This window comes from Homo sapiens, chromosome 3, assembly GCF_000001405.40.
Source record: "Homo sapiens chromosome 3, GRCh38.p14 Primary Assembly".
Lineage (NCBI taxonomy): Eukaryota > Metazoa > Chordata > Mammalia > Primates > Hominidae > Homo > Homo sapiens.
Genome location: NC_000003.12, coordinates 62,662,540 through 62,689,872, shown reverse-complemented (window position 1 = coordinate 62,689,872; position 27,333 = coordinate 62,662,540). Strand labels below are relative to the sequence as shown.

Below are 27,333 nucleotides of genomic sequence, written 5' to 3'. Positions count from 1 at the left end.
CCCCTCATCTCTCATTGTCACCTTTTGAAATCTTACCCATCCTCCCATCTCAGGAGCTACTTCTTTCTAGAAGCTTTTCCACTTGCCTCAAGGAGCTATTAACACATTGTGTGAATTGATTTAACAACCAGAAGGAAAACCTAAGGCTTTGAAAGATTAGGACAAGGGTCTGATAAATTTCGGTTACTTGGCAGGAAGAAATTCTATAATGTCAGGTACATTTGCGTCCAAAGGGTTATACAAACATGTCATCCAAATACAATCTAATTTTTTATGCCCTACAACCCCCCTCCAGAGAATGGTATAAAAAAAGACTACATTTTATAAAGCAGTGATTCAGTTATCATTCGGGGAGCCCCAGGACACTGGCATTCAAGTGAAAGTCTTGGCTAACACCCAGCCTGTATTTCTAGACATCAGTTTGCTTCTCCTTGCACACTTTTACAGCAGTTGGAGGTCATAACCTCAAGATGGCATCCTATTCTCTTGGCATTATCTCTTGATTATGTTTACATTACAATTTTAAAGTTCATTGTGTATGGTCTCTTTAGATTCACATTTCCTCTTATAAGGAAAATGTTTATAAGCCACCTAAGGTCATAACAGGAAAATAAATGGAATGGAGGAATGCATTTTTTTTTTCAGCTCAGGTACAGCATGGAAAAATTAATTGTGCTGTTCTGCCTAGAGAAAAACACTTTAGTGCTTGAAGGAAATCAAATGTCAGCCATTCCTTATTCAACATGTGTTCACTGTTAGAACTAAGAAATTTTTCTACGAATAAATATCACTAAAACTCTTGAAAGCTGTCAAATCACAGCCTAGTAACAAAGGAAGTGAAAAGAAACATCATTTATCACACTGTTATTCCTATTCACACGCTGGAAAGATTTTTTTTCTGGGACTCATCTGGAGAAAATTGCTGTCAATGTCAACTTGAATTGTCCTCTTCCTCCCTTCCCACATTACCCATTGCTGTACCATGGATGCCCTGTGGAAAGTGGGTTACAGTCTTCTGAATCCCTTCTGCCACCCAGACACTCTGAGGGCTTTATGATCCATTGTGAGGGTTATTAGTGAGAAGGGAGAGCAAGGTGACACTGAGTGTCTGAGGATGGCAAGTTCTTAGAGGTCAGCCTGAGAAAAGCCTTTTCAAAACTTGAACATTTCCTTATAACTTTGGCAACAAGAGATGATGACAGACTAGGACAGGAAGGTATTTAAAGATGGCAAGAGCAAGAATAAAATGAGGCTCTTAACTAGCTGGGTGCCTTAGAAGAGTTGGCAACTGGCAGAGCAGATGGAACACTCTATGTGGAAGTTAAGACCTGAGTTTAAAGCCTGAGTCTTCCTCCACCTTCCTGTTTGCAGTGGCACATAGTAGGCACCTTAAAAATATCTGATGACCTGGGTAGTAATAGCAAAACAGTAACAACATCTCCTACTTATTGACCACTTCCAGACAATTCACTAGCTATAACAATGCTATTAGAGACTGCTATTCCCATCTTAGAGATGAGTAACAAAGGCTCACAAAACTCACTTAGCTCCATGGTTCTCAATAGAGAATATTTTGCCCCTAGGGGACATTTGCCAATGTCTAGGAATATTTTTGGTTTTTTTGGTTAGCATGACAGGGGAAAGAAAGCTACTGGTTTACATTGGGTAGTGGCCAAGTAGGCTGCTAAACATCCTACAATGAATAGGACAGGCCCTGCAACGCAGAACTATTCATTCCAAAATGCTAGTAGTGCTGCAATGGAAAAAGCTTGATTCTCGATTAACTGATGGAAGCATATTCTTCTAACCACAGTGCCTTACCACCTGACCAGTATAATATGATTGAGCACCTAGCAAAGCACATGCTCAATAAATACTTGTTGAATAAATGATGAAAGGGATTTGAAGAATTGTTTTACTTTAGGAATTTTTCTTTACCTTTCTGGGTCTCAATTTCCTCAGCTGTAAAATGGGTTAGTGACTTTTTTCACTTGCACCTGCTTCACAGTATTATTACGCAGTTTAGGTGGTCTAATATATTTGAAAGTTCTTTATTAGTTGTAGAAAAAGACTGCATAATAAGAGCTTTTTACCATAGAAGCAAGCGTTAAGATAGAAGCAAAAAAAAAAAAAAAAAATGCGAAGGGAACCCCGGAAGTAGCAATGAAAACTCAATACACAATGTTGAAATTTAAGGATAAGATTTCAGTATACACAATAGATAATATTAGCAGAAAGAAAAAGTACTCATGATAATCACCCCTGAAAACTGAAAATCTTCAAGCCAATTCATCCTGGCCCTAAGTCCCTGGTACCCTGGGGTCTCACAACCTTCCCTTTCTGATTATTTACTTCCTAGTCATTTAATTAAAAACAACAAAGTCCTTTCATTGGCAGCAGTTAAGTGCTTTTTCTTAGGTCTTATTAACGTTCACTCAATAAAATGCCCCTGGCTGTTGATAGAAATTATTTCTACTTGAATCAAATGGCATTTTGCAGTATTTCTTGCCCCATTTGGGACTGTTTCACAAATTCCCTGAGGTGGTCATCGTGAACTTACAAACCTATGATCTGATGTTGAAGGCAGTTTTCTTTCCTTGATTCGAGTGGTGAATTTTAGCCATTTTAAATTGCTGAGTGACATCAGCCCTCCAGAAAAACAAGAACAGATGGGAGGGATTTGCCACCCCCGTGTTGGGCCCCCTCAACCCTGATCTAAGCAAACAAGACTGTTGATCCCTCTTGTCTTCCATAACAAATCTCCTTTCGGTGTTTTGCCCTTGGCCATAAAGGAAGAAACCCATGCTTGTGGCTGTTCCCAGGCTGTTGCTACAGCTGCTGCAGATGTGCTACTTGGTGGCAGCCCACAGCTGTCACCATCATTGCAATCATTTTAGTAAGAACTAGCATGAGGCCAGCACCTTTTGAGCATTACTATGTGGGGAGGAACAAAGGATACATGTAATAATGACAAATTCTCTAGTCCCTGATGGCTTAAAATACATTTCTGCCTAACTACCCAATGCATTCTGGGAAGGCTCTGTAAGCAAAAGATGCTATCAAAATGCATAATGTTAAATAAAAGGTCATTTTAAAATCCTACTGAAATAAAAATGAGTTGGGCTTTACTTATTATGAGTCACCAATACAAGACAGACAAGGTACATTACGAAATATATTCCATAAACAGGACATTCAAAAAGGCAAAATCAGAAAGAATGGGAATGACACACCCTTAAGTACATGCTATTATGAAATATGGGGATTATGTTAGCCTTTGCTTGTCTGCAGATCTGCAGATTGACAATATTTTTATCTTATATCATCACTTGTAGTGTACATTAGCTCCATTTCTCCCCTCTAGCCACAGGACAAAAAAGAGAAAAACTTCAGAAATTCAAGGAAAATAACTTTCTAGTTCACATTTAGCATTTAAATGTATTTCTATTATTTGGGGGCCAAAGACGCCTTTCTGTCCACTGATGTCAGCTGACCCATTGACTTCCTCCCCTACCTGACTTTCTGAAAGAACTTTAAATAGATGGGGTTTTTAAATTGTTGTTTTCCCTCTGCAGGAAGACATAGATATTTTATGCCTCTGAAGTGTTATAATACATAGAGAAAACGAAAATGTTCTTCTGTTTGCTAAAACATGCAGGGTTTTTTGTTTGTTTGTTTGCTCACTGGAATATAGTTAACTTATTTTCTTAGCCTCATTCTTCGTAATTGTCTTGCTTAAAAATTTGTTTAATTGACACATAATAATCGTACATATTTATGGGTTACATAGTGATGTTTTGATATATGCAATGTATGGTGGTCAGATCAAGGTAATTAGTATGTCCATCATCTCAGATTTTATTTCTTTGTGTTGGGAAACATTTAATATCCTCCTCCTAGCTATTTGAAACTATATAATATATTGTTAATTATAGCCATCCTATAGTGCTATAAAACAGGGGTCCCTAACCCCCAGGCCACAGTCAGGTACCAGGCATTACTGCCTGAGCTCCACCTCCTGTCAGATCAGTGGCAGAATTAGATTCTCATAGGAGCGCAAACCCTACTGTGAACCGCACATGCGAGGGATCTAGGTTGTGTGTTCCTTATGAGAATCTAATGCCTGATGATGTGAGGTGAAAAGAGTTTCATCCCGAAACCATCCCCCCAACCAATCCCCCCACCCCCCCGATGAAAAAATTATCTTCCACGAAGTTTGGTCCCTGGTGCCAAAAATGTTGGGGACCGCTGCTATAAAACACTAGAAGTTATTTCTCCTATCTAGCTGTAATTTTGTATCCTTTTTTTCTTGACTCCACCACTTTCTAGCTATATAAATAAGTCACTTCACATTCTGGACTTCAGTTTATTAAACTCCAAACTGAAACGTTAGGATTAGTCTGTTTTTAAGGTCCCTCTCTCTTCTAAACATTAACATTATTATCACCAGTTTTTTTATTTATATGGCACGTTTATACTTCACCAAACACTTCCATATAAACTCTACGCATTGTTTCTTTGATTATAGATTCCTTAATCTTGATCACTTGTGTCAGGAATGTCTACCTGTTTGTGTGCCTTAGTGGGTGTTACCAGGCCAGCTAGGAACTCAAAATTTTGTTTTTGCTCAATTTCAGTAAGTTTCCTTAGTTGAAGTTTTTGAGTGAAATCACCACTCCGTTTTCATCTAATTCAGAGATCTGTTGCACTGTGCCTTGTTTGCTTTTGTGGAAGCAAAGTAGGTGTGTTGTGAATTACAAAAGTTATCAAATGGGTGAATCCCTTACTATCTTTCATTGATAGCGACTTTTCAACTCTATGAAATCAAAGTAGTAAAATCAGTCTACTTTGATTGTGAGCTATAAGTTCAGGGACAGAGTTTCCCTCAAAATGAGCTGCATAATCTTAACCTGCCATAGGGTTTTCTTACAGTTCCTTTCACTTCTATCAAGAAGAGAGAATTCTCCTCCAGCATCTTTCTCAGAAGAGTCTGAAAGCCCCTTTCCCAGAAACTGTCTAGTAAATGTCGTCTTGCATCTGATTGGTGCATGTACTTTGTACTAAAGTATCCTGTCCCTAATTCCATTACTCTGACCAGGTGCATAGAATCTGCTGAATGTCTTAAACCAGGGAAGACACTCACCTAGAACTGAGGATGGGTTGAGCTTTCCCCAAAGTGTGTAGACCACTGAGGAAATGGTGGATGTGGATTGAAATTTAGGATATTTTTACAAAGGAAAATGAAGAGAAGGATGTTTAGTTGAATCTTGGGTATGCCCTTTACTCGGGCAAGTCACTTAAACTCCCTAACCATTAATGTTCTCATCTGAATTGAGGATAAAAATCTTTCTTTCCCCAGTAACAGTGAGTACATCCAGTGTCCACATCTTAGTTTGCAATATCCTTCTCCCATAAAAAGAGCCAGGGCTCCTTGTTTGAAATGGCTGATTCTACGGCTGGGGTAGGCAATACACAAGCTGAGCCTGGATCATCATTAGAGCCAAAAAGTTGAAAAGTGCTCCAAAAAATCCCCCCAAATGATGGACATATGTCAAGGGGAACTGGGAGCCAACAGAAAGAATTTTCAATGCCCAAATTTGAGCAAGAAATTAAATAATATACTGAGTTATAACTCAAAATATAAAATAAACTTTCCTAAGTCCATACTGTAATAAATAATTGGATGAATTAATAAATTAGGAAGGAGACAGAAATGGAAAACATATTTCCCATCCAAAAGAATTCCAAATAACTTAAATAGATACACCCCAAAGACGTGGAGCAAAACTTGCCCTGTAAGTTTGGACTCCATGTAGTAACTTACTTCAAAGAAAGCAGTATAGAGTGGGAGGAGAGAAAAAGTAACTGTACAGTAAAGAAATCTGGAAACCTTTGCCTTAGCCAGGTGATCAGGTTTGCTATCAGTGAGAAGTCATGTTGACAGCATATACCTTTGATATGACATATTGAGAATGGCTCTTCGCTTCTGTAGTCTTCATCCCCCAAACCCATAAATAAACCTATCCATGAGAAAAACTCTAGACAAACCCAAATCAAGGGACATTCCACAAAATACCTGACCAGTACTCAAAACTGTCAAGGTCATCAAATGCAAAGAAAGTCTGAGAAAATGTCACAGCCCAAGGAGTCTGAGACCTGATAGCAAAATGTAATGTAGTGTCCTTAATGGGATACTGGAACAGAGAAAGGATGCTGGGAAAAAATCTAATGAGGTCCAAATAAATTAAGAACTTTAGTTAATAATGAAGTATCAATGTTTGTTCATATGTTTTGACAAATGTGCCATGGTAACATGAGATGTTAACAAGAAGGGTTGCTGGGTGTGGGATAGACAGGAACATTCTGTACTATCTTTGCTACTTTTCTGTAAATCTAAAATGATTCCAAAACAGCTGATTTAATACAAAAAAGAACCTTTCTTACAGAATTGTAATCACAAACGAGCCTTTGTATGCTATAAAGTGCCTAGCCTATGCATGGTAGGCACTTGGTATATTTAGTCGGTTTGGCCACCATTGGCAATAGCTGTATTCACCCTTAACCCTTCCAATCCATCCTCTGTGTGAGCCAGAATGATGTTTATGTAATGCTCATCTGAACTTCTCATCCCTCCTCCCAATATGTCTCACCCTAATCTCTAGCTTTAAATTTTTCAATGACGTCTTATTGCTTCTAGCATGTTCATAGAGACGCTTAGCTTTCCCATGATCTACAAGACCCCACACACAACTTGGCCCTGCCTGCCTTCCCAGACCATCCCCATTTTACTCTCCTCCTCACCCTTACTCCAGCCACACTGACCTGCTTCCAACATTTCCTCTGGCCACAGGCCATTGAGACATGCTATTTCTGTCTGAAATGCTCTTCACTTCTCTTTGCCTGGTTAACTTCTACTTATCTTTAGTTCCTAATTCAAGAGCTGCTAGGCCAGAGTTCTTTCACATAATCTTGTTTTCATCCTTTGCAGCAGTTATCTCTTGGTAAGTTTACATTAATGTACATGGTTATTTGATTAATGTTTGCATTCCTCCCTAGATTATCAGTTCCATGAGGAAAAAACAGTTTCTTTATACTCTTCATTGTATTCTTAGGACCTGTACCTTTTCTGGAGCAGTCTATGCTTAATAAACATTTGGAGAAAAAAGGGAAAGGAGAAGGAAGGAAAGAAGAAACTGCCTCTGGTACCATCCTTTTTAGAAACTGGTTATTTTCCAGAGATCCAGATCTCTTAAATAAGGATTTTGCAATGTTAAACTAGTTTCCTAACCTCTCAGCTTTCAATTCTGTTCAGTAGCAAAGTGAGAGAAAGTATTCAAATGGACTAGTTTGAAAATCCTGTCACTCACTGAACACTAGCGATTTCACAGATGATTTCTGAAGCACTCAAATTTAGAGTGGGAAGAAAGTCCTTGCAGAAGGTGTACACAAGGCAGTCATGAGTAGTTAGCATCTCTAGTGCTTTTTGGGCTTCCTTGCAAGAACTCCCAATTAAGCTCCAGTCCATTCTGGCATTTTCTGGTCATTTAGTGATTCACTGCTTCCTAGGGGTGTAGATTCCCTGTGCTAAAGTAGAATAAACAGTGAAAAAAATAGCTCCTGCACTTATCCTTAATTTCCAAAAAAAGTGGAGTTCTTTCTTTGATTCCAGAAATACTTGTATTGTGGTACAGCCACAAAATCTGTGAACTGTGAAGTAGGATTCCAATTACTTAAGAAGGAAGGCTCTACCTTTCCAAATTGTCTCTGTCCCTTGTGCTGCCAAAAATTGCTCACTAGCATTTCCTCTGATTATTTTCTTACTGCCTTTGAATTTCTTAGTTAATAAGACAGCCCGACAATAAATACTTCGTAATGCATCAACAGATACAGACACAATGTCTCTTCTGCCATGATTTTCCTCCAAATGAGGTCCTCTGGAGAACAAAAGGCCTGAATTGCCATTTTTCTCCCTCAGTTTTCATCCACACCCAGCACCCTTTATTTTCCCCTACCTGTTACAGAAGTCAGTCTGAAATGAAATGTAGAATAAAGTGGAGGAATCTTGGGGATGATGTAGATGTGTTATAGTCATCGAGTCAGTGACTGGAGAACCTGAGCTTTTCAAAATGACACTCTGTAACAAGGCCCCTGAGGGACTGCATTACATGGGAATCCAGTGTAGGTTTTTGTTCATGTAGACGTGTCAAACAACAAAAATCTTGCCCACCATTTATTTCATTCTTCAGGGCCTATGAAGATCAGGAGAGAAGCCAGCTATAGTTTCTGCCCTCAGAAGTTTCTAGTCTTGTAGGAGGATTAGATGTGTACGCAAATAATAACATCAAGATAGAACAAAGTGAGGGCCAGTGGAAGGGCAATAGAAGGAAGATCCATTTTCTTCTTTCTTTCCACTAATACTGTTTATTGAAACTTTAACACAGGCCAGGCCCTGTGCCAGTCTCTAAGGTTATGATGTTGAGCAAAAGCCATGGAACTCATACCCTAATGGAGAAACAGAGGTCAGTCAGGTGACCACACCAACAGATATACAATTACAAACTAACCTGGGTTCTGTGATGGAGAGGGCATAGTTTTTTCAAAGTCTTTGAGAAGAGTCTTTGAGAGACAGGCTGTGGTGAAAAACCTGCCCTAGGGCAGAAGGATGGCAGGTGCTAACTTAGGGAAGAGTAGGGGAGGAGTCTGTTAGACAGGGCAACAGCACATCTGAGGTGGGTTCTGAAGCCAGGAGATCCTAGTCATGCACAGATGTGTTCCCAGCCAAGAAAACTGTGTCAGCAAAGACAGGGAAGGGAAATGCATGGAGCAGGGTCGGGGAATCACCAAATGGTCAATTCAGCAGGATCACAGGGAACATGGCGGGAGTGGAGGCTGGAAAGGTGGGCACTGAGCCCAGACCATGAAGAACCAGGATATGTCCTCATCATTTCTAAAGATTGCCTCATGGAATCCACATGGTTTCAGAACCTCTCAGGGCTGTAGTGTAGGAATGAGCCTCTAAACTCCCAGCACAAGCACCACCAATATTGTCACTATTTCTCACAGAGAAATTCTTGGTTTCATAGTTTTGTATTATGAGCATCTGGGTGGTACTTTCATTTTTAAAAGAGCTACACTGATTTTTTAAAAATTGAAAATCATCTTCATGGACAGTGGGAGACAGGACCAGATGTGTGCTTTAGATCAATCTGCGGCAGCGGAAGATAGAGAGGAGGGAGGGAGACAAGTTGAGCCACTATCACAGCAGTCCAGGGGAGACATGTCAAGGTGCTGAAGTAAGGAAGAAATAGGTAATGAAGAGAAAGACACAAACGTATGGAGAGCTGCCAGACAGAGGAGGACAGGAGAGCATTTGGCAAATGATTAGATGTGTGTGACAATGAGAGAATAAAGTCAAGGAGATGCTGAGGTTTCAGGCCTAAATGCCTGGAAGAGCCAAAGCCATTTATAACAATAGATAATTCTGCTTGAGGACAGCTTGGGGTAGGGTGGGCCAATGTGTTCACTTCATCTGTATGGTTTCACTGATTCCTCATACCAGCCCAAAGAGGAAGACGCTGTGCTTATCCCCATTTTTCAGAAAAGGAAATTAGGCTTATAGACATGAAGCCACTCTTTCAATCTCAGAATTTCCAAATGGCTGACTCAACTTGGCTCTTAGCCACTGTGCATTATGTCTCACCTGGACAATTTCTGCAGCTGCTCCACCTTTTTTTCCTTGCCTACTCTCCGTCTTCCACTGCCCCAAGAGTAATCCAGAACACAAACCTGATTACGGTGCTCCCTTCCTAAGTAACCTTTAGTGGCTCCCCATAGCCTGTAGAGGTAGTTTTCTTTTTTAAAAGTTGTGTAACAGTTTTTTTAGAAGGAAAGTTTATGGAAGGATCTTTATATAAATTATAATTAATTTATCAATGATTCTGCATCCAGTGGAGGACAAATATGACACAGCTTTATTTTTTTCCAGTTTTTACCTTCAGCATTGCTGTGCCAGAACTCCCTCTTCCATCTAATGACTCCTTGTATAGACTTCTTAGCTTTCCAGTCGCTTTCAAAAACCCAGTCTCATTTACAATGTCAATTTTATATCCAACTTAAAGCTCATAACCTCCCTGCCTCTTCTGTGACTAGCTTTTCCAGGGTCAATGCAGGGAGTTGAAAAGTCTTGGGCAGTGCTGACGGGGAAAGGCAAAGTTCATTTTACTTAGTTGGGCTGGTGAGTGCAATCTCCTCTCCAGTTATTTCACTATCTCTCCATTGGTCCCACTGTGTGGTGGCAGCTAAGTGCTGGTGCTCTCATGAGAGACATGGATGAGTTACTTGGGAGCCCATCAGTGGGAGCTGCTACTCTTAGGGAGATCTTCATCAGCTTCCTGTCTTCCAACCACACATAAGCTCCCATCTCTGGGACTTCATCCTAGAGCTTCCTATAGCCGGGACTATAGGAAGTATCTGGACCAGCATCTGGACCAGCATCTCTCTGGACCAGCATCCACCTCTAGGATGAAGCTCCAGTAAGATGGCCCTAGTTCACCTATAATACCTTCCTCAGTGTGCGTTTAACCTGTAAGAAACCCACACAACTTTGACACATCAAATAGTGGCAGTAGAAATATAGCCACAAGTACCCCACTCCAGCGGGCTGTCTCCCTCCAATTCTTTGTGTTTTAGATCTGCTCAACTAGACACAAGGCAGGTCAACCAGCTGGCTGCAAAGCAGACTTTCAACAGAACCATGAAAACAAGATGCTCACTTTTTTTCAGGAATTCCAATCTCTAAAGGTTATTTTCTTGGTGGAAAGCAGCAGGAAGCACCACAGGTGGGGTAAAGAAAAGCTACAGCAATCTCTTTTCTCAGGCTAATGCCTTGGGAACCCTGAGGGGTTTCTTTTTCTTTCTAACCAGTCCCTCGCCTCTCCTTTCGCTGTTTTCTTCTCATATACAACTGGTGAGGAAAGTCATTGGAATGATGACTGGGGATAGTAGGGCTAGGTTGGACACCTTTTAATAAGCCCTGGAGGGTATGAATGTTCCACCAATATTTATGTCTCCAATTCCTGAACACCAGGAAGAATCCCATTCAACACTCTGCTGCAGAAGTTTCCTTAGGTCAACATGGTTTCTCTTTTGCAGTTTTGTTCATGTAAAACTTGTATGTAATAATAGGCATGCATTTAGGCTTAAAACATTTTTAGCAGGGAAAGAATGCTATAAATCTGGGGCCCAGAAATCTCAACTTCTCCCTCACTTATCAGGGAAGAGAAACTGGCTTAAGATGTTCTTCTGTAAAATGAATTCATTGCAGTTTCTTCCTTCTGTACAAGATAAGTGTGGTTTCTCATTCCAGTGGAAAAAAAAAATTCCTGAGAAACACAGATGTTAGAATCAAGCATTAATTTTTTCTTCCTTATGAAATAGTGACATTAGCAAACCTAAAAACTTAACTAAAAATGGAATTTAGTGAGAAAGGAGGGCAATATATTTTGCCTTACTGGAAAAAGAATGGGGATTTTCTACTTTTATCTTAAAGTGAAGTAAATAATGAGATAGTATGATTGCCTTCTAGAAACCTCCTCATTGTGCCTATTTCTACCCCACCCCCAGATTTTCTGCATCTCTTATTCTGATTCGGCTCTGTGCAGCATCTCAGGCTTTTAAATCAAGGAGAGGGGATTGTGTGTTTGCATGACCCTTTCCCTGCAAGCAACAGGTTGAAGGTGTGGTTTGTGAGTGTGTCAGGATCAGCAGCCTTGTGACAGAGTGTTAGAAGATAGTGAATGCTTCCAGTCACTCTATTGCAGCTGTCTCCTGGAACAAGGAGGCTTGCAACATAAATATGCATACAACACAGGGGTCAGCAAGACCCCAGTTGTTTAACCCCTGTGTAAGATATTACACACCTCAGTGAGAAAAAACCCCAAAGCACTCCAAAGCAGAATTCCGGAAATACCTGTCTGGATTGTTCTTGCAAACCTGGTGCCTTCTTGAACAAATTTTTTCACCACATATGAACTGTCAAAATTCTCATTCTTATCTCTTTTCTTCCTCAAATTATTTTAGATCTTAGCCCAGCTGGTAATACTGGGAAGGGTTTAACAGTTAGAGGATTAACATTATGAAGTTAAGCCTCCATTGTCAGTTTAATAATATTCTCTTTGCCCCCATAATCAAATGTTGTCAGGGCAAACATCTTACTTTCCTGAGATCAGCATTTACAGCAGGGTTTCTCAGCCTCAGCACCAATGACATTTTAAGCTGGATAATTCCTTGTTGCAGGGGCTGTCTTGTGCATTGTATGGTGTTGAACAGCACCCCAGGCCTCTACCCACTATTGGCAGTGGCACCTCTCACCCTCCATTGTGACAACGAAAAATGTCTCTAGACTTTACCAAACATTTCCTAGGGACAAAATTGCTCCCCCTTCCCTATCCAAGTAATAACTACTGAGAACTTATAGAGATCATAGAATTTTGTCAGAAAAATCCCAATCTGAGCTAGTGTCAAATCTAAACCTTTGTGGGTTTTTCTGGTTTTTTGGTTTTTTTGCTGTTGTTGTTGTTTTGGTTTTTTGTTTTTGGTGCTAGTGGTGAGGAGGAAGGTGAAGAGACTGGTTGGGGGAGACTTGACCCTTTTGTCTTATAAATTGTGATGGCTAATGTCACAGTTTATGAAGACTATTTCCTGAATTTCTGCAGCTTTGCTTCTCTGATAATAAACTGAAGGTTGCCATGAAATTAATCACTCTAGAGGGGTTTGCAGAGGGAGGTATAGCTCCAACCCTTGGCTGTTCTCCCGTGTTGGCCAGTATAAATTGCCAGTGCCTGTTGGTTTAGAGATTAATTATTAATGATAAGGAAGCTTATGAATTTTTCAGAATTTTCTCCTCTTAGGGTGCATGTCTGACTTCCTATCAGGAGCATAAGATCCCTTCCATCCTTCCTGCATCAAAGCCCCAGGCTGTCACCCAGGGCGCTATCTTGTTCCATGCAGGCTGGCTGCATGTGTTGACTCTAAATTTTTTAATCAGCCATTTTCCAACACAACTGCACATGTCAGGCTGTAGAGACAGAATCTATTAAGCACGGTCAGAAACCAGCAGGGGCCTTGTGGCATCATGATTTGATATCTCTATGGCAGAATTTCACAATAAAAAATTCACAGGAGTACACAGTTTGCTGAAATGTCACCAAAACGCCTGCAGGACTTAAAAGGAGGTGAAACACCATCAACACCGACAATAATAATCTCTGAACAGTCCTTTCAACTTCTGGAAGAATTTTCACAACTATTTAGGTATCTGATTTTCCCCAAACCCTGTACTTTTAGATCACCCACTTATTTTTATGAAATAAAATGAATAGGTAGCTGATCCTGTCATCCTTAATCAACTGAGTCGATAATGATGACCATTACAGGTTGAATGATAAAAGCATAGATAATTTTTCAATTTTAAAAAATCGCATAGACCATGTTAGGATATTGACAGTTCCCTGTTACATGGAGGATGAAATATTTATAGACAATCACTCAACAAATATATATTGAACACCTCTTTTGTGTCAGGAACTTGCTGAGATATTAACCTGAAAATCATTTGGGTTTCACTTCATCTTAAAGCCATTTCTTAAAAATGTATTTTTCCACTCTCTTACCTTACAATACAACAAGCATCTTGTTGAAAGGCATCATTTTACAAATCAATTCTGTGTCTAGGAATGTTAGCATAAAAGGGCAGAGTATTGATCTGATATATATATTTGGTATTGCTTTTTAAAAACACAATTGCCATCATTGTACATTTACTTTTTTGTGAAAGTAAGTTCCTTTTGTAAAAGTGGTTACTTAAGGTTCCTGCATACGTTTTTGTTCCTTCTGAGATTTTACAGTAATTGGGGAGGATTTTACAGTAATTGGGGAGGAGAGGAGGGATTTGCCATAATCACTACAGAATGTTTTCTCTGAAGACCCTAAAAAGCATTTTCTTAGCTTTTGCAAATATGAAAGGGCAACATAAGCAGGTGAACTACCTAATCTTAAAAACAGTTTCACAGAGGATTAGCCTGGTGTCTGGATTACAAATACAATTTCAAGAGATAAGAAGTCATCTGTCTTCATGGTGGTTTACCATTTAAAGTGTTTCTCAGGCTGGGAACTTGTAGGTACATTAGAAGTAAATTAGATTACGAGACCCTAGGGCCATCTTAATTTGAACTTCCCAGTGCTGAATTTGTGTATTGCAGCCAATATTGTTTTAATTTATACTGGTTAAAATACTGCTTATTTGCAGGTTTCTCTCTCAGAGGAGATTACTACTTTCTTCTATTTCCCTCCTCTAAGCCAAGGTCATATTTGCCTTTCACAATGCAAATTAAATTATGTTACACCATGTTCACTTGAGTTAATTTAAACTCAAGCTAAGTTTAAATTAGTTGTAGAAGTGTCCACATAGGCCAGGTAAACTAGAGAATCAAGCAATTTCTAGATATTCAAATAGAGTCTATATTTTAAGCACTTTAACCAAAATCTACAATCTTTTTTGAGGCAGACACACTAATGCTTATAAAATATTTTATGTATTTTTTTTTTCATTTTCTAACTTTCTTTGCAGCTAGGTTAGGGCCACAAGATTAGTTTCAGCAAACTGGCTTTCAGTCCTCCATGTTCTATTTTCCCTGTCACACTGAGCCTGAAAGCTACATGTTGAGGTAGCAGAGTCACAAAATGGTGGTGCTTCCATGTGCTTGGATCCCTGAGTAATTCTGTGGAAGAGAGTCCCCCATAATTGGCACTGGGTAAGTAGAGTAAGCAAGAAATAAATGGTTATTGTGTTAAGCAACTGAGATTTCAAGGTTAACTTCTTACCATGGAATAAATTAACCTATCCTAATTAATTTTCCTTTTTAAATTTATTTTTCAATATTTATTTTGTTTTCAGTACAACACATGATTATCCTTGCTTATGATTGACATGGGATTATGGACCTCAGCTTCACCAAACATACAAAATCTACTTCCAACTTCTTGAATATAGTGAGAGTAGGCATCTATATAGTCCAACAAATAAGAACTGTCTCATGTGTTAAAGTAGATGATACCCCTGATACCTTTGTGCATTTGCACACAATGCAGTATATTATAAGCAGGACATACTTGATAAATGCCAATAATGTAATTTTGGGTTTTTTAGTTCGTTCTTTTTCTCCCATCTGTTGGAGAATTTGGCCGCTTACTCTTTTTAATACCACCTCCTCTTCTTAGGCACAGTTACTTTTAAAAGAACTAATAAAAAAAACTACTTGGTTATGGATTTGATACTGGGAACAAACTGTTTCTTTGACAGGTCTTAATCAAGATGAAACTCACCCTTTTAAAATATTTTTGACTTTGAACAATGGCAACCCCATGGTAGACAAACTCTTCAGAGCAGGCAAAATGAGATAATGATACATGTAGGTAGACTTATGAATAGACCCAGTTTCCACCAGGTACTGTTTAATGATCAGCCTGGGACTGGAAATTAAGCACATCTTATATTTGTGACATGTTGCTCAAAGGAAACAGTGGTGCATGTGACAGTTCTCAAGTACCCTGGAAAGGTTTTAATTTAATTAATTCACCTCAGTTTTAATTGACATGGGCAGCTCTGTGATTTACAGATCTGAATGTTTTTTACTACTTGAGCTTTCTTACACACGTGCACATATATACACACCACTCACATGCATGCACGTACACATTCACAAAAGCCACAATTGCAGAAGCTGGAAAACTCAATTTCCTTTTGACCTTGTGAATAATTTTATACCATGCTATCAGTGTTTGAAAATGAGGTTCACTTCTTCTTAAAATAAAGAGCAGGTATTTTTTAGCAAAAGCATTCGATTTGATTAGAGGTATTTTAAACATCACTGGATGTTTTTCTGGACTTCCTGTTGAGCTCATTATTTTGCCATTTATAAAATGCTTTTTACCATGACTTGATGCTGCTTAAAGAGCAAGATTATTTAACAGTACAAAAAGGCATTTCATTTCCCATAATGTTTATGTCAAAATCTCCAGAGAATATAATCACCTCTGGCTTGTTTTGAAAAAGTGACCATTTCCCATCAAATCAGCTGCCCAAACTAAATTTCAGAAATTAGTAAAAACTAAATTGAAAAACGAATGGCAATGAAAATAATTATTTAAATATATGCAATGTTTTACTAGTTTTGAAAAATATAACTCTTCTTTTTGTTGAAATAATTCTGAAAGTTATCAAGTTATGTATTTATCCTGCTCTCACAGTTCATAACATAATGCCTGAAACAAGGCAAGTGTTTAGTGAATATTTTTAAATGGTTAGTTGAATACTAATATTTCTAATTTCCAGATGAGGAAGCAGAGACTCCCAGAGTTTAATTGGTTCACACCTCTATTATTCCCACCACTTTAGTCAGTTATTCTCTGTCCTTTCTGCACTTAAATACTCACTTTCATTTACTCATTCAACAGAATTTAATAAGTTTAAACCATTTGCATTCAGATTTCTATTTAGGTCATGATTTGAGCACCTATTAAGTGTCAGACACCACACTAAGTGCCTGGAAAAACATCACCTTAACTCCTCAAAACATCCCTGCCACATAGATGTTATTATCTCTATCTCAAATTTAACTCTGCAAATATTTCTTACTCCCTTACCATACATCAGTCATTGGCTATTTTTATAATGAACAAGACAGACAAGGTCTTTGCCAAAGGCACTTACAGTCTTGCACAGAACATGCCAAGAAGCAAATCACACAAATGTGATGGGAGTGATAAAAGAGGAGGTTCAGGATGTTAGGGTGGCCTAGAAGAGGTGACCTTGGCTGAGACCAAGAAGGCCCCTAAGGTAGCAATATTGATACTAGGCTTTGGGTTAATGATTTACTGTTAACCAGACAAAGATGACAGAGGGCCAGGTGCAGTGGCTCACATCTGTAATCCCAGCCCTCTAGGAGGCCCCTGTGGGAGTTTGAGGCTAGGGGTTCAAGACCAGCCTGGGCAACGTAGCATGACCCCGTCTCTACGAAAAATACAAAAATCAGCTGGGCATGATGATGCCTGTAGTCCCAGCTAGTCAGGAGGCTGTGGTGGAAGAATCACTTCAGCCCAGGAGGTCAAGGCTGCAGTGAGCTATGATCTCAACATTGCATTCCAGCCTAGACAACAAAGAAAGACCCTGTCTCAGGGGGAAAAGAATGATGACAGAAGAGGAAAGAGAATTCACATTGACCAGGGGCCAAGCAAGAGTATGTCATGTTCGTGAACCTAGAAGTACAGAATGGTCTGAGCGTAGAGAACAAGACAGAGTGGTGGGAGATGAGGCTGGAAAGCTGTGCAGGAGCCAGATGGCAACAGCTCTCAACGCCTTGATAAGGGTCTCAGGCTCTTACTACCAAGGGAAGTGGAACGTTATTGACAGGTCTTAAGCAGGAGAGTAACATGAGCAAATGCACGTTCCAAAAAGATGAGCAGCCTGCCTTGCAAAGCCTGAGTTAAATTCGTACTTCATGGCGTGTGGTTTTGCAGCATCAGCACCACCCAGGAGATGTTTAGAAGGATGAATTCTTGGTTGTCACCTCAAGCCTGCTGAATCAAAACTGTCCCAGGGTGAGGCCCGGACTCTGTGTTTTAACAAGTTCTCTGGTTGATTTTTATGGGCACCAAAGTTTGAGAACCACTGGATTTTAATAGAGGTTTTCAATCCTGGCTGCACGTTGGAATCACTCGGAGGGTTTTAAAAAAATTGGCTGGGTGTGGTGGCTCACACCTGTAATCCCAGCACTTTGAGAGGCTGAGGTGGGTGGATCACGAGGTCAAGAGATCGAGACCATCCGGGCCAACATGGTGAAACCCCGTCTCTACTAAAAATAAAAAAAATTAAAATAAATTAAAAAATTAGTCAGGCGTGGTGGCATGCACCTGTAGTCCCAGCTTCTTGGGAGGCTGAGGCAGGATAATCACTTTAACTTGGGAGGTGGAGGTTGCAGTTAGCTGAGATCACGCCACTGGCACTCCAGCCTGGCGACAGAGCAAGACTCTGTCTCAAAAAACAAACAAACAGAAAATACTGCTGCCTGAGCCCCAACCCGGAATATCATATTTATTTGGTCCAGGTGCAGCCTCAACATTAGGATTGCCTTTTATCTCTCTCTGGGGATTCAAATATGCAGCCAGGAGGGAGAACTGCTTTGTATCAGAGGGAAGCAAGAGAGGATGAATATGAAATCGGTGGTTGAGGATGGAGATGATGGGAGCCTGGCTTAGGGAAGTGGATACACAGCATAGAAGGATTCAAGAGATATTTAGGAGGTGACTGCACAGCTAGCAAGGGATAGACCAGGCCTAGTCCCCTGTATTTTTCTTCACAAAACCGCCTGCTTCCTCTATACCCTTGGTTTTGGCTGCCACACTTACACAGAAAGACAACACCCACTCTCTTCTTTGAATGGCTTCAGTTCCTTGTGTCTTCAGGATAGTGCAGGTGAATTGGACAGTCTCCCAGCCCCAGATATAAAGATTATTAAGATAATCCATTAAAAAAAAAACACAGCTGTATCCTCTATGCTGGATAAAAAACATAGTCTCTGGCCTCAATAGTAATACATTATGGCCTTAACCTTGCAACCCCTCATATTTGGGACATGATGCTAAGTGCTTTATGAGTACCATCTTCTTTCGTTTTCATAACAAGCCTCTGCTGTTGGCATTGTTACTGTTAGGACTCCCACTTTGCAAATAAGGGCACAGACAGAGGCAGCTTAGTAGATTGTCCAATGTCAGGGAGCTGGAAAGTGGCAGAGCAAGGATGTGAAGCCAGATCTGACTGTTTCCAGCTCCTGGGTCTCTGACTACCATGCGCTATGACTGCTCTGGGGTGGAAGAGAGAGCTAAGGCACAGGGCACATAGAAAGCTTGCTAGCAATTCCTATAAAAGTGGGTTGATGCCTGGCTAAAGTAATCAAGGAGGGCTTCTTGAAGAAAGGCCTGAAGCCAAATTCTGAATGACACATCAGACTTGAAATGGTAGAAAGGAAAAGAAGAGGGGAGGTCATTTCAGGACTGCGGGGAAGATGGGGAAAGACTGGTTGAGCACTACAGGATCATAAAGAACTGGATTGGTTTTCTGTTTGGGTTTTTTTTTAATGTATTTATTGGCTGCTTGTTCAGAAAATTGCTGCATTTGGAGCTCTTGGGTTATATTTACTGCATTGCCAGAAGCCAGCAAAGACATAAAACTGGTGACTCAAATACAGCAGGGTTCTCATTGGCTGGCAAAACCTGGGAGCTAAACCCTGCATTTTGCAATCAAGAAGTACATCATTCAGAATGGAAACTTTGACCTACCCAAGGTCTTCTCTTGCAAAGGAAATAAGGCATGATAAAGAAAGACACAAATGATCTTATTTTAACTCTTCCACAGATTAGGTAGTATCATCTCCTTGGATGATTTTTTGTAACAACAGAATGTAATTGACTGCATGGGAGACCGAACTCCATGTTCTTTCTACAAATAACCCTGAAACAGAGCCCTTAGTGAAGACTCGGATGGATGGCAAGGCTGCAGATTTCATCAGAGTCTCTTCCAGTAATAATAGTAGAGTTATATACACCTACAATGTGTTGAACCCCTGCTGTCTGAGAATATTTATTGTCATCATTACAATAGTCCTTTGAGGTTATTTTAGTGCAGCAGCTGTAGATGCTCCGAGAGGTTAAGCATCTGGCCCTGATCATACAGTGAATATGTGTCACAGGCAGCATTAGATCTCAAGGTTTTCTGATTCCGAAATCCATGATTTTTTTCCTAAGGATTATTCCCTCTATCTCGAGCTAATTATCTCTGAAACTACAGGCAAACTACTTAACCTTTTAAAGCTTGGTTTCTTACCCAAAAGGGGAGGAAATCTGCTATACTACTTTAAGTGCTGCAGAATCAGAACTTCTGTAAGGGAGAATATATGCAGGCTATGGAATGCCAAGGACTAATGGCTGCTAAGATTTACTGAACGTGACTGCATGCCAAGCACTTTGCTAATTGTCATATGCATCCATCTTATTTAATCTCTTATCGATCCTATGAGGTAGGTATTATCATTATTGTTCCCAATTTAGAGTTAAAAGAGTTGAAAAAAATAAAAGCTAGGGCTCAGAGAGGTCCAATCACTTTCCTAGGATTGCTCAGCTTTAAAGTGGAAAGGCAAAGATTTGAACTTGGACAGTGGAGTGGGGGCACCTGCTGACCGTGTTCTACAGGCTCTACATTTAAGGTGGACACACAAGAGACAGGCTTTAGGAAATGAGAGGAAGGAATTTGGAGGCAGTAACCAGGTCTTGAATGCGGCAAAAACAGCCACAGTTCAAACCCCAGTGCAGTCTTGTGGCAGGAGCTTGGGCACCCCCATCTCCTGGTTGGGAACTGACACTGTCCCAGCTGTAACTTTCCAGACTGCAGTGCACCAGGAAGGCAGCATTTGCTGGAGCAGCTTGTCTCTGAAGGAGGATAAAAAAACATGGGGCTGTGGAGGAAAGGAGGGCCCTGCCAGCTGATGGGAGTGCTTTATGGGGAGGTGCCTCCACCCTCCTCTGCAGTGGCTCTTGGCAGCCTCCATCTCAGACACTAATCTCTGGGAACCCAGGGGGCACACTGGGAAGTAGAGAGAAAGCAAAGTAGCGAGAAAACAAGCTAAACCCAGGTCAGCAGGTGGCTTGCACTGCAGCTGCTTATAGAGACCCCTGTCTCCATCCCCAATTCCCAGAATAAGGAACGCTTTAATCAGGAAAGAGACTGATTATAGGCCAGCAAAGTTCAGTCTTTACCGATTTCTGCAGAGAATGGCACTTGCTGGAACACAGCCACTAGGCAGCAAGACAGAGCAAACTAGAAGTTAGCTGATTGGGAATTTGGTCCCAGCCCTCACTGATCGTTGTGCGACTGTGGGTAGGTCATTCCTTTTTGGGTCACAGCTGATTAACTCAGTCCTGTAGCTAGTCAGGCAGTCATTTTATTCATCTGCCAGGCATTTACCCAGAGCCCACTCTGTATTTGCCGCTGTAATGTACAAGTAGCACCTACGTAAGTAGGTGCCAGGGATCCAGAGATAAGCAAAATAACACACATCCCTGCCCTTATGGAGCTTACAGCCTAGTAGGCAAACACCAAATCACATAAGTACCTGTAAATTAATGGTGATATATGTTAGTAAGGGAAAGGAAAGGTGCATCATTATAAGGAGAGACAGGAGAAATTCACAAATCTGGAGAACAGAGCAGAGTTGCTGCAAAGCTGAAGGATGAAGGATAAGAAAGGGTTACCAGTCAAGGGAGAGATAAGGAAGAGTGCTCCAGGCATGAGGAACAGCCTGTGCAAAAACCTGGCAGCAGGAGAAAGCTAGCCCTCCCAAAAGCCTGAGTGAAGTATCCAGTGGAGCATACTGGGGGAGGATGTGGTGCCCGACAAGGCTGCAGAGCTCAGCAGGGGGCCACACCATTAGTCTGAGGTTACTACATTATCCCTGAAACTCCTTCCAGCCAGTCTGGATCACTATCACTTTAGTCCTGAGGCTGAAGTTGGTTCATTTACTCTGAAGCTCAGAACCATAGGTTTTTCCAGAAAGCAGAACAATTATTCAAATAATGCATAAAGTAATCTGCCTATTTCTGTTTACATTTTCTGTGTATTTGAATCACATCCTCTCTTTGGTTGACTGAAGGCTGCCTCTTGGCAGCGACACTGATGACTTTGGAAGAGTCTAGGGTTGAAGTTGCCTCCTTATCATCGTTAGTGCATGAGCACCAGAAAATTCAGGCATGCCCAGGGGTAGCTGGTACCCAAGGGTGTCTCCCAGGCGCACTGTCAAGGCCAATTCTCCAAGGCCTCTGAAGCTAATAAGGAGGCTCCAGGCCCAGGCCCTTTGACAATTTCTTCATCCCCCTAGAGGTCAGACAGGGCATTCCCAGGTGTGAATCATTTTGCTGATACGTAGACCTATTTGCATAGTGGGATTGCTTCCTCCCTGTCTCCCCCCACCCCCAAAATTCTGTCTGCAGACGTGAGAAAAATGAAGCACACAGGAAAATTGCCTAGGTGAGCACATCCCAGAATGTGTTCCTGGGAACACATGATCAGGTACATTTGGGAATGTGGGGCTGCATGAGGTTGCCTTGGTGTAGGATTTCTTGCTCATGTGTGTTGTGTGTCTCCAGAAATGGGATAGAGTGAGTTTCCAGACTTTATTTGATCACAGAATCCTTTCCCATCGAGGATCTAGAGAACCTGCAGGACTGATATTCCCTAGAATATAACTTTGGGAAATACCAGTCTAGGCTTTTCAGATAATCCTGAAACACAATAGCTGAAATCTTGTCATTTCTCTCAGATGAAGGGACTGTGCACCGAGAGGTCACGACTTTGGCTCAAGATCCCACAGCTAAAGGCAAACTAAGGATCAGAACACAGGTTCCTAACATTCATTCCAGGGTCCCAGGGTTCCCCACCCTGGTCTGATTTCTTTCATATATCCTAAAGGCAGGGAGGAGAATTAACATCTGGTGACTCCCCATTCTAAAATAGGGGATAACTCTATAAACTTTGCTAAACTATAGGACCTCTATGTGCCAACACCTACCTCACTGGGTGCTTTGAATGTATATCATCTGACTTAATCCTCATAACATGCCAGGGTAGGTATCTTATCCCAGTTTTACAGATAAGGAAACTGAGGTTCAGAAAGATTCGATTGCTTGTTCACTCTGTGTCAGTAAGGAAATGGCAAAAAAAAAAAAAAAAACAAGATTGGAACCAAGTCGGTCTGACTTCCCTTGGACAATGCAGCACATTTTGTCATTTTGTCCTTTCAAATAGCTATGCAAGATAAAATGATGTCCACTCTGCAGATGCAGAAACTGAGGCATGGTGAGGTTAAGAAACTTGACAAGGTTGCAAGGGTGCAACTCCACCCTGCTATATCTCAAGCCTGTGTTTAAATTGGCCCTACAGTAACAGGACAGAGTTTTCATCTCTGCATTGACGGAAAGAGTACCACCCATGAGCTAGAGACAATTGTCTCTGGTGGACTTGAACTGATGGCTCAGGCAATACCTGTCTACACTTACACAGTGCTGGGCTTAGTTCTCCATCACTTTAAAGGAAAAGCCCAAGGAATTATTTTCCTCTACTTGACTGACAAGTCAAAACAACCACACAGCCTCTGCTTGACCTCTTCTAGTAGGAAGATTATTTGTCTAATTAGGTAAAGAGCCTTTATGCGCATGTACATTTTTGAACCCTAATGATCTGCCAACGTGAAAGGCTTGCCCTTGGCTTGGTTCTCCAGCTGATCTTTCCTTTCCTCAGTGGAAAAGACCAGCGCAATAAACAGAACCTTGTTTCCATGGAAGCTCACTCTCTTGCTTTTTCTTTCCAGCCCTTGAAAAGGTAATTACTTGATTTCTCTTTATATTTTGGGATTTCATAGAGTGGAGCTGTCAAGCTCCTCACGCGAGGATGGCCTTCTCTATCATGCCAAGCTATTTTAGGGAGCTTCAGTTGCATTTCCCTTTTCATCCTCTCTTCAGATCATTAGCTGTCAGGCAGCAGTGGCCGCCTTCTGGTCACTCCCGCTAATTAAAGTCTAACAGAGCAAGGGGACTCGACCCCAGAGAAAGTGGGAGACAGAAAAGCCAGGGAAATTTGTCAAGAGATGGGAGCCTCTGATCACATCATTTCTGCTGCACAGACTGTCAGACCGACACCCTACATTCACGCCAGTGAGGGACACTGTCCCATCTGGTGCCTTCTCTTCTGAACCTTTGACGCCCCACTGTGGCCCATGTCAGAAATGCAGCCAACATGGACTGCTCTAAAATAACAACACAAGGAGCAGCAGCCACCATTCATGAGGGTTTGCTGCATGCCAAGCCATGGACTAAGCCCTTTATATCCGTTGTCTCCGTTGATTCTCATGACAACCTCAGGTCTCATTAACCTGATTATTTAGATGAGAAGAGCTGGAGCACAGAGAGGTTAAGTAACTTGCCCAAGGTCACACAGCTACTAAGTGGCACAACCAGGATAAGGACACACCCATTGCTATTATTTCTTAGGGAGGAATCCAGCACTGCTACAGCCTCCCCAAAAGAAATCAGTCATGACAAGTGACAGAGGGTTGACATTTCTCTGTCCCCAGTGGTGGCTCTATGGATCAAACTGGCCCGTGTCTACAAGGAACAAAGTGAGGTTGCTGAGCTAGTTAACTGTCAGGATCAATTAGAAAACCAAACAAGGCACTTAAGTATGAAGCCAACATAATGCAGAGCAAAAGAGTTCCAGTTTGAGGCAGAGCAGACTTGGTTTCAGGTGACTAGTACCACTTTACCAGAAGTGTGATTTGGGGCATGTTCCTCTACCTTACCAAGACTCAGTTTCCACATCCGTCAAATGGGGATAATGATACCAACCTTACAAAGTTGTTTCACATGTGGAATTTTCCAAACTGCTCTGTGATTTTTGGTGGAATAATTGTGTAAAAGACAAGGTTAAATGCAGTTAAAAACAATTATTTACTCTAGAATTTCTCCAAGTCTTGATTATGTTGACATATTACAAATTTTCAAGAGGAATCATCAATTCCTCACCCCAGAATCCTTTTTCCTGTGTGAATGCACATTAGCCTCTGTTTCTTGGGACCCTTTAGAAAAGGCTGTAAAACAGGTCATAGGGTATTTGGTGTTTGGTACAGGCATCAATAAATGCTAATCCTTTCTTCTTTATGCCCAAATCATGCCTGTTCTTGCTGGATTTAAGCTCCATGGAGTCAGGGACTTGTTCCTTTCTTATTCCAATATCTTGACATATCAAGATATTCCATAAAAATTTAATGAATGAATGAGTAAATTAGTGAAGTAATGAATAAAAGAATAAATTAAGCTTAATGTAGACCTTGCCTACTCATCTTCATTGCCAGCATTTTCTGCTGTTTCCAGTTGCCTTCTATGAAGCCAGTGGGAGAACCCAAATGCCTCTGGAAAATTTAGTAATGGAGCTGGTTCTGTTGGGCTGTATTTTCCCACTTCTGTTTTAACCTGTACGAGCACCATATCTTCCGACGAAATTCTCCTAACCAAATCATTTGGCTCTTAACCAACTTTAGACAATAACCAAATCATTTTGCTGCTTCCCAGTGAAGTAGTTGAATGTTTCATTTGCATATGTATTTTGAACAAGACATTTCTGAGTGTTCCCAGTGGATTTGCACTTAGAGCTGAAGAACTTTTGGGCTTCCCAAGGGAATAAAAAGAAAAGCAGCTCATTGGAACCTAAAAACAGCACTGAGGACACTGTATTTCCCACGTGTGTGTGCCTGTCAACAAGTGGTTATTGGGATGGACGACTGGTCAGTCATGTGACTGCTTTTGGGTGGTGTGCTTTACGTTTGTTTAGAAGAGAGTTTCCAACTCATGTTCTATGAGTATTATGCAAAAAATAAAAATTCTAGCTTCAGTTTAAAAATGGTTGTGTTGGGGCCAGGCATGGTGGCTCACGCCTGTAATCCTAGTACTTTGGGAGGCCAAGGCAGGCGTATCACGAGGTCAGGAGTTCGCAGACCAGTCTGGCCAACCTGGTGAAACCCCATCTCTACTAAAAATACAAAAATTAGCTGGGCACAATGGCATGCGCCTGTAATCCCAGCTACTCAGGAGGCTGAGGCAGGGGAATTGCTTAAATCCAGGGGCGGAGGTTGCAGTGAGCCGAGATCACACCACTGCACTCCGGCCTGGGCAAGACAGCAAGACCTCATCTCGGGGGAAAAAAAATAAATAGTTGAGTTGGTCAAAATCTAACAAATTTTCTTACTGCAGAGCTTCTCGAAGACTTTGTAACAGAACACCCTTTGGAAAATACTGCCTTAGAATACCTAGCCAAATGTTGCAATCCAGTTTTCATGATCTAAGGAAAAGTCCTTCTCCCAAACTGTGGAAAGGGGAAGATAAAGTGATGCTGGTTCCTGAATTGAACAGGGTGATTAAAATGTACAGCATAAAGCCAGATGGATTTTCAATGTGTTTTGTAAAATAAACCAAAGAAGGTTAATTGTGATGCTTCAAAAGTATGACCATATATTTTCCAGTGTTATTGTTTATATCATAATCCAAATAACTTATTTGCTATATCATTTCACAGCATAGGTGAGAATCTTTTTTTTTTTTTTTTTTTTGGAGGCAGGGAGCTTTAAACTTTCTTCTAAAATTGATTTTAGAAGAAAGGGACTTAGAAAACTCACATATTTCTTATGCTACTTTTTGTTTTGAATTAATATATACTAAAAAGAGGAATAAAAACCATTTTATTTAAATGCCACTGCTCCTTAGTAAACTTTTCTGTGAATAAAATATAACTTTCTGAATAAGCAGACTCAATACAGCTTGAAAGGAAATGCTGGGGTTGCTTGGAAATAATAGTTTCAACTCATAAAATGGAAATGAGCAACTATGGCCTGCCACCTGTTGTAAATAAAATTCTATTAGAATATAGTGGGTCTCATTCACCTACAGCCCTTACATTCACTTATATATTATCTATACTTACATATTGTTTAGTGCTGTCTTCACCTGCAAGGGAGGAGTGGATTTATTGCAACAGAGATCTTATGGCCCTCAAAGCCTAAAGTTTTGAATATAGGTCCCTTTACAGAAATGTCTGCTACTCCTTTCAAAGAGTCACAGAAATTTGTAAAAGGGATGAAGACTACATAACTGACCCCTTTTTCTTTAGATAGAAAAAACTGAAAACAGAGAAGTTAGGGAATTGTCCAGGCTTATTTATGCCTGGGTGCTCTGATCTTTATATCCAAATAGTTCTCTTTATCAGGGAAGACAGGGATAGATTTCAACTTAGATATCAACACCAGCTGATTGGAAGTAGCCATCTGGAGGGCTGGTACAGGTCTCAGCGTTCAAAGAGAAGGAACGCAATGACTTATTAATCCTCCATGGTCCAGAGGTGGAGAGCGGCTGGACCCGTGCCATGTGTGCACTGGGGATATGCACTATGTCTGCTCCTGACATTTCTAATAGTTATATTGCCGTCTCCTTCCTTGTACATCTGCCGTGTAAGCACTTTGGTCACTGGGCCAAAAAGAAGTGTGCATTGGTCCTCATTAGAAACACTGCTGCCCAACAGTTCAGAAGAGATTGATGATTCTTTTGCAAGGTCGTTCAAATGCCTGTCTTAGCAGCTGCCTACCATATCACGCTCTGTCTAGAAGAATTAACTTGGAATTTCACTCA

At 40.8% G+C, this 27,333-nt stretch overlaps 1 protein-coding gene across 51 annotated transcripts in view, besides 2 other annotated features; it reads left to right on the top strand.

Moving 5' to 3' along the window:
• Positions 1 to 27,333, top strand: part of CADPS (calcium dependent secretion activator) — a 477,069-nt gene that overhangs the window by 185,544 nt on the left and 264,192 nt on the right. The gene's annotated exons all lie outside the window — the stretch shown is intronic.
• Positions 20,089 to 20,589: an enhancer, noted in NCBI's record as "H3K27ac hESC enhancer chr3:62654959-62655459 (GRCh37/hg19 assembly coordinates)". NCBI's record gives its function as "activates a minimal SCP1, AML or CMV promoter by ChIP-STARR-seq in naive H9 embryonic stem cells {active_cell/tissue: H9 hESC(naive)}" and the evidence as "EXISTENCE:reporter gene assay evidence [ECO:0000049][PMID:30033119]".
• Positions 20,590 to 21,090: an enhancer, noted in NCBI's record as "H3K27ac hESC enhancer chr3:62654458-62654958 (GRCh37/hg19 assembly coordinates)". NCBI's record gives its function as "activates a minimal SCP1, AML or CMV promoter by ChIP-STARR-seq in naive H9 embryonic stem cells {active_cell/tissue: H9 hESC(naive)}" and the evidence as "EXISTENCE:reporter gene assay evidence [ECO:0000049][PMID:30033119]".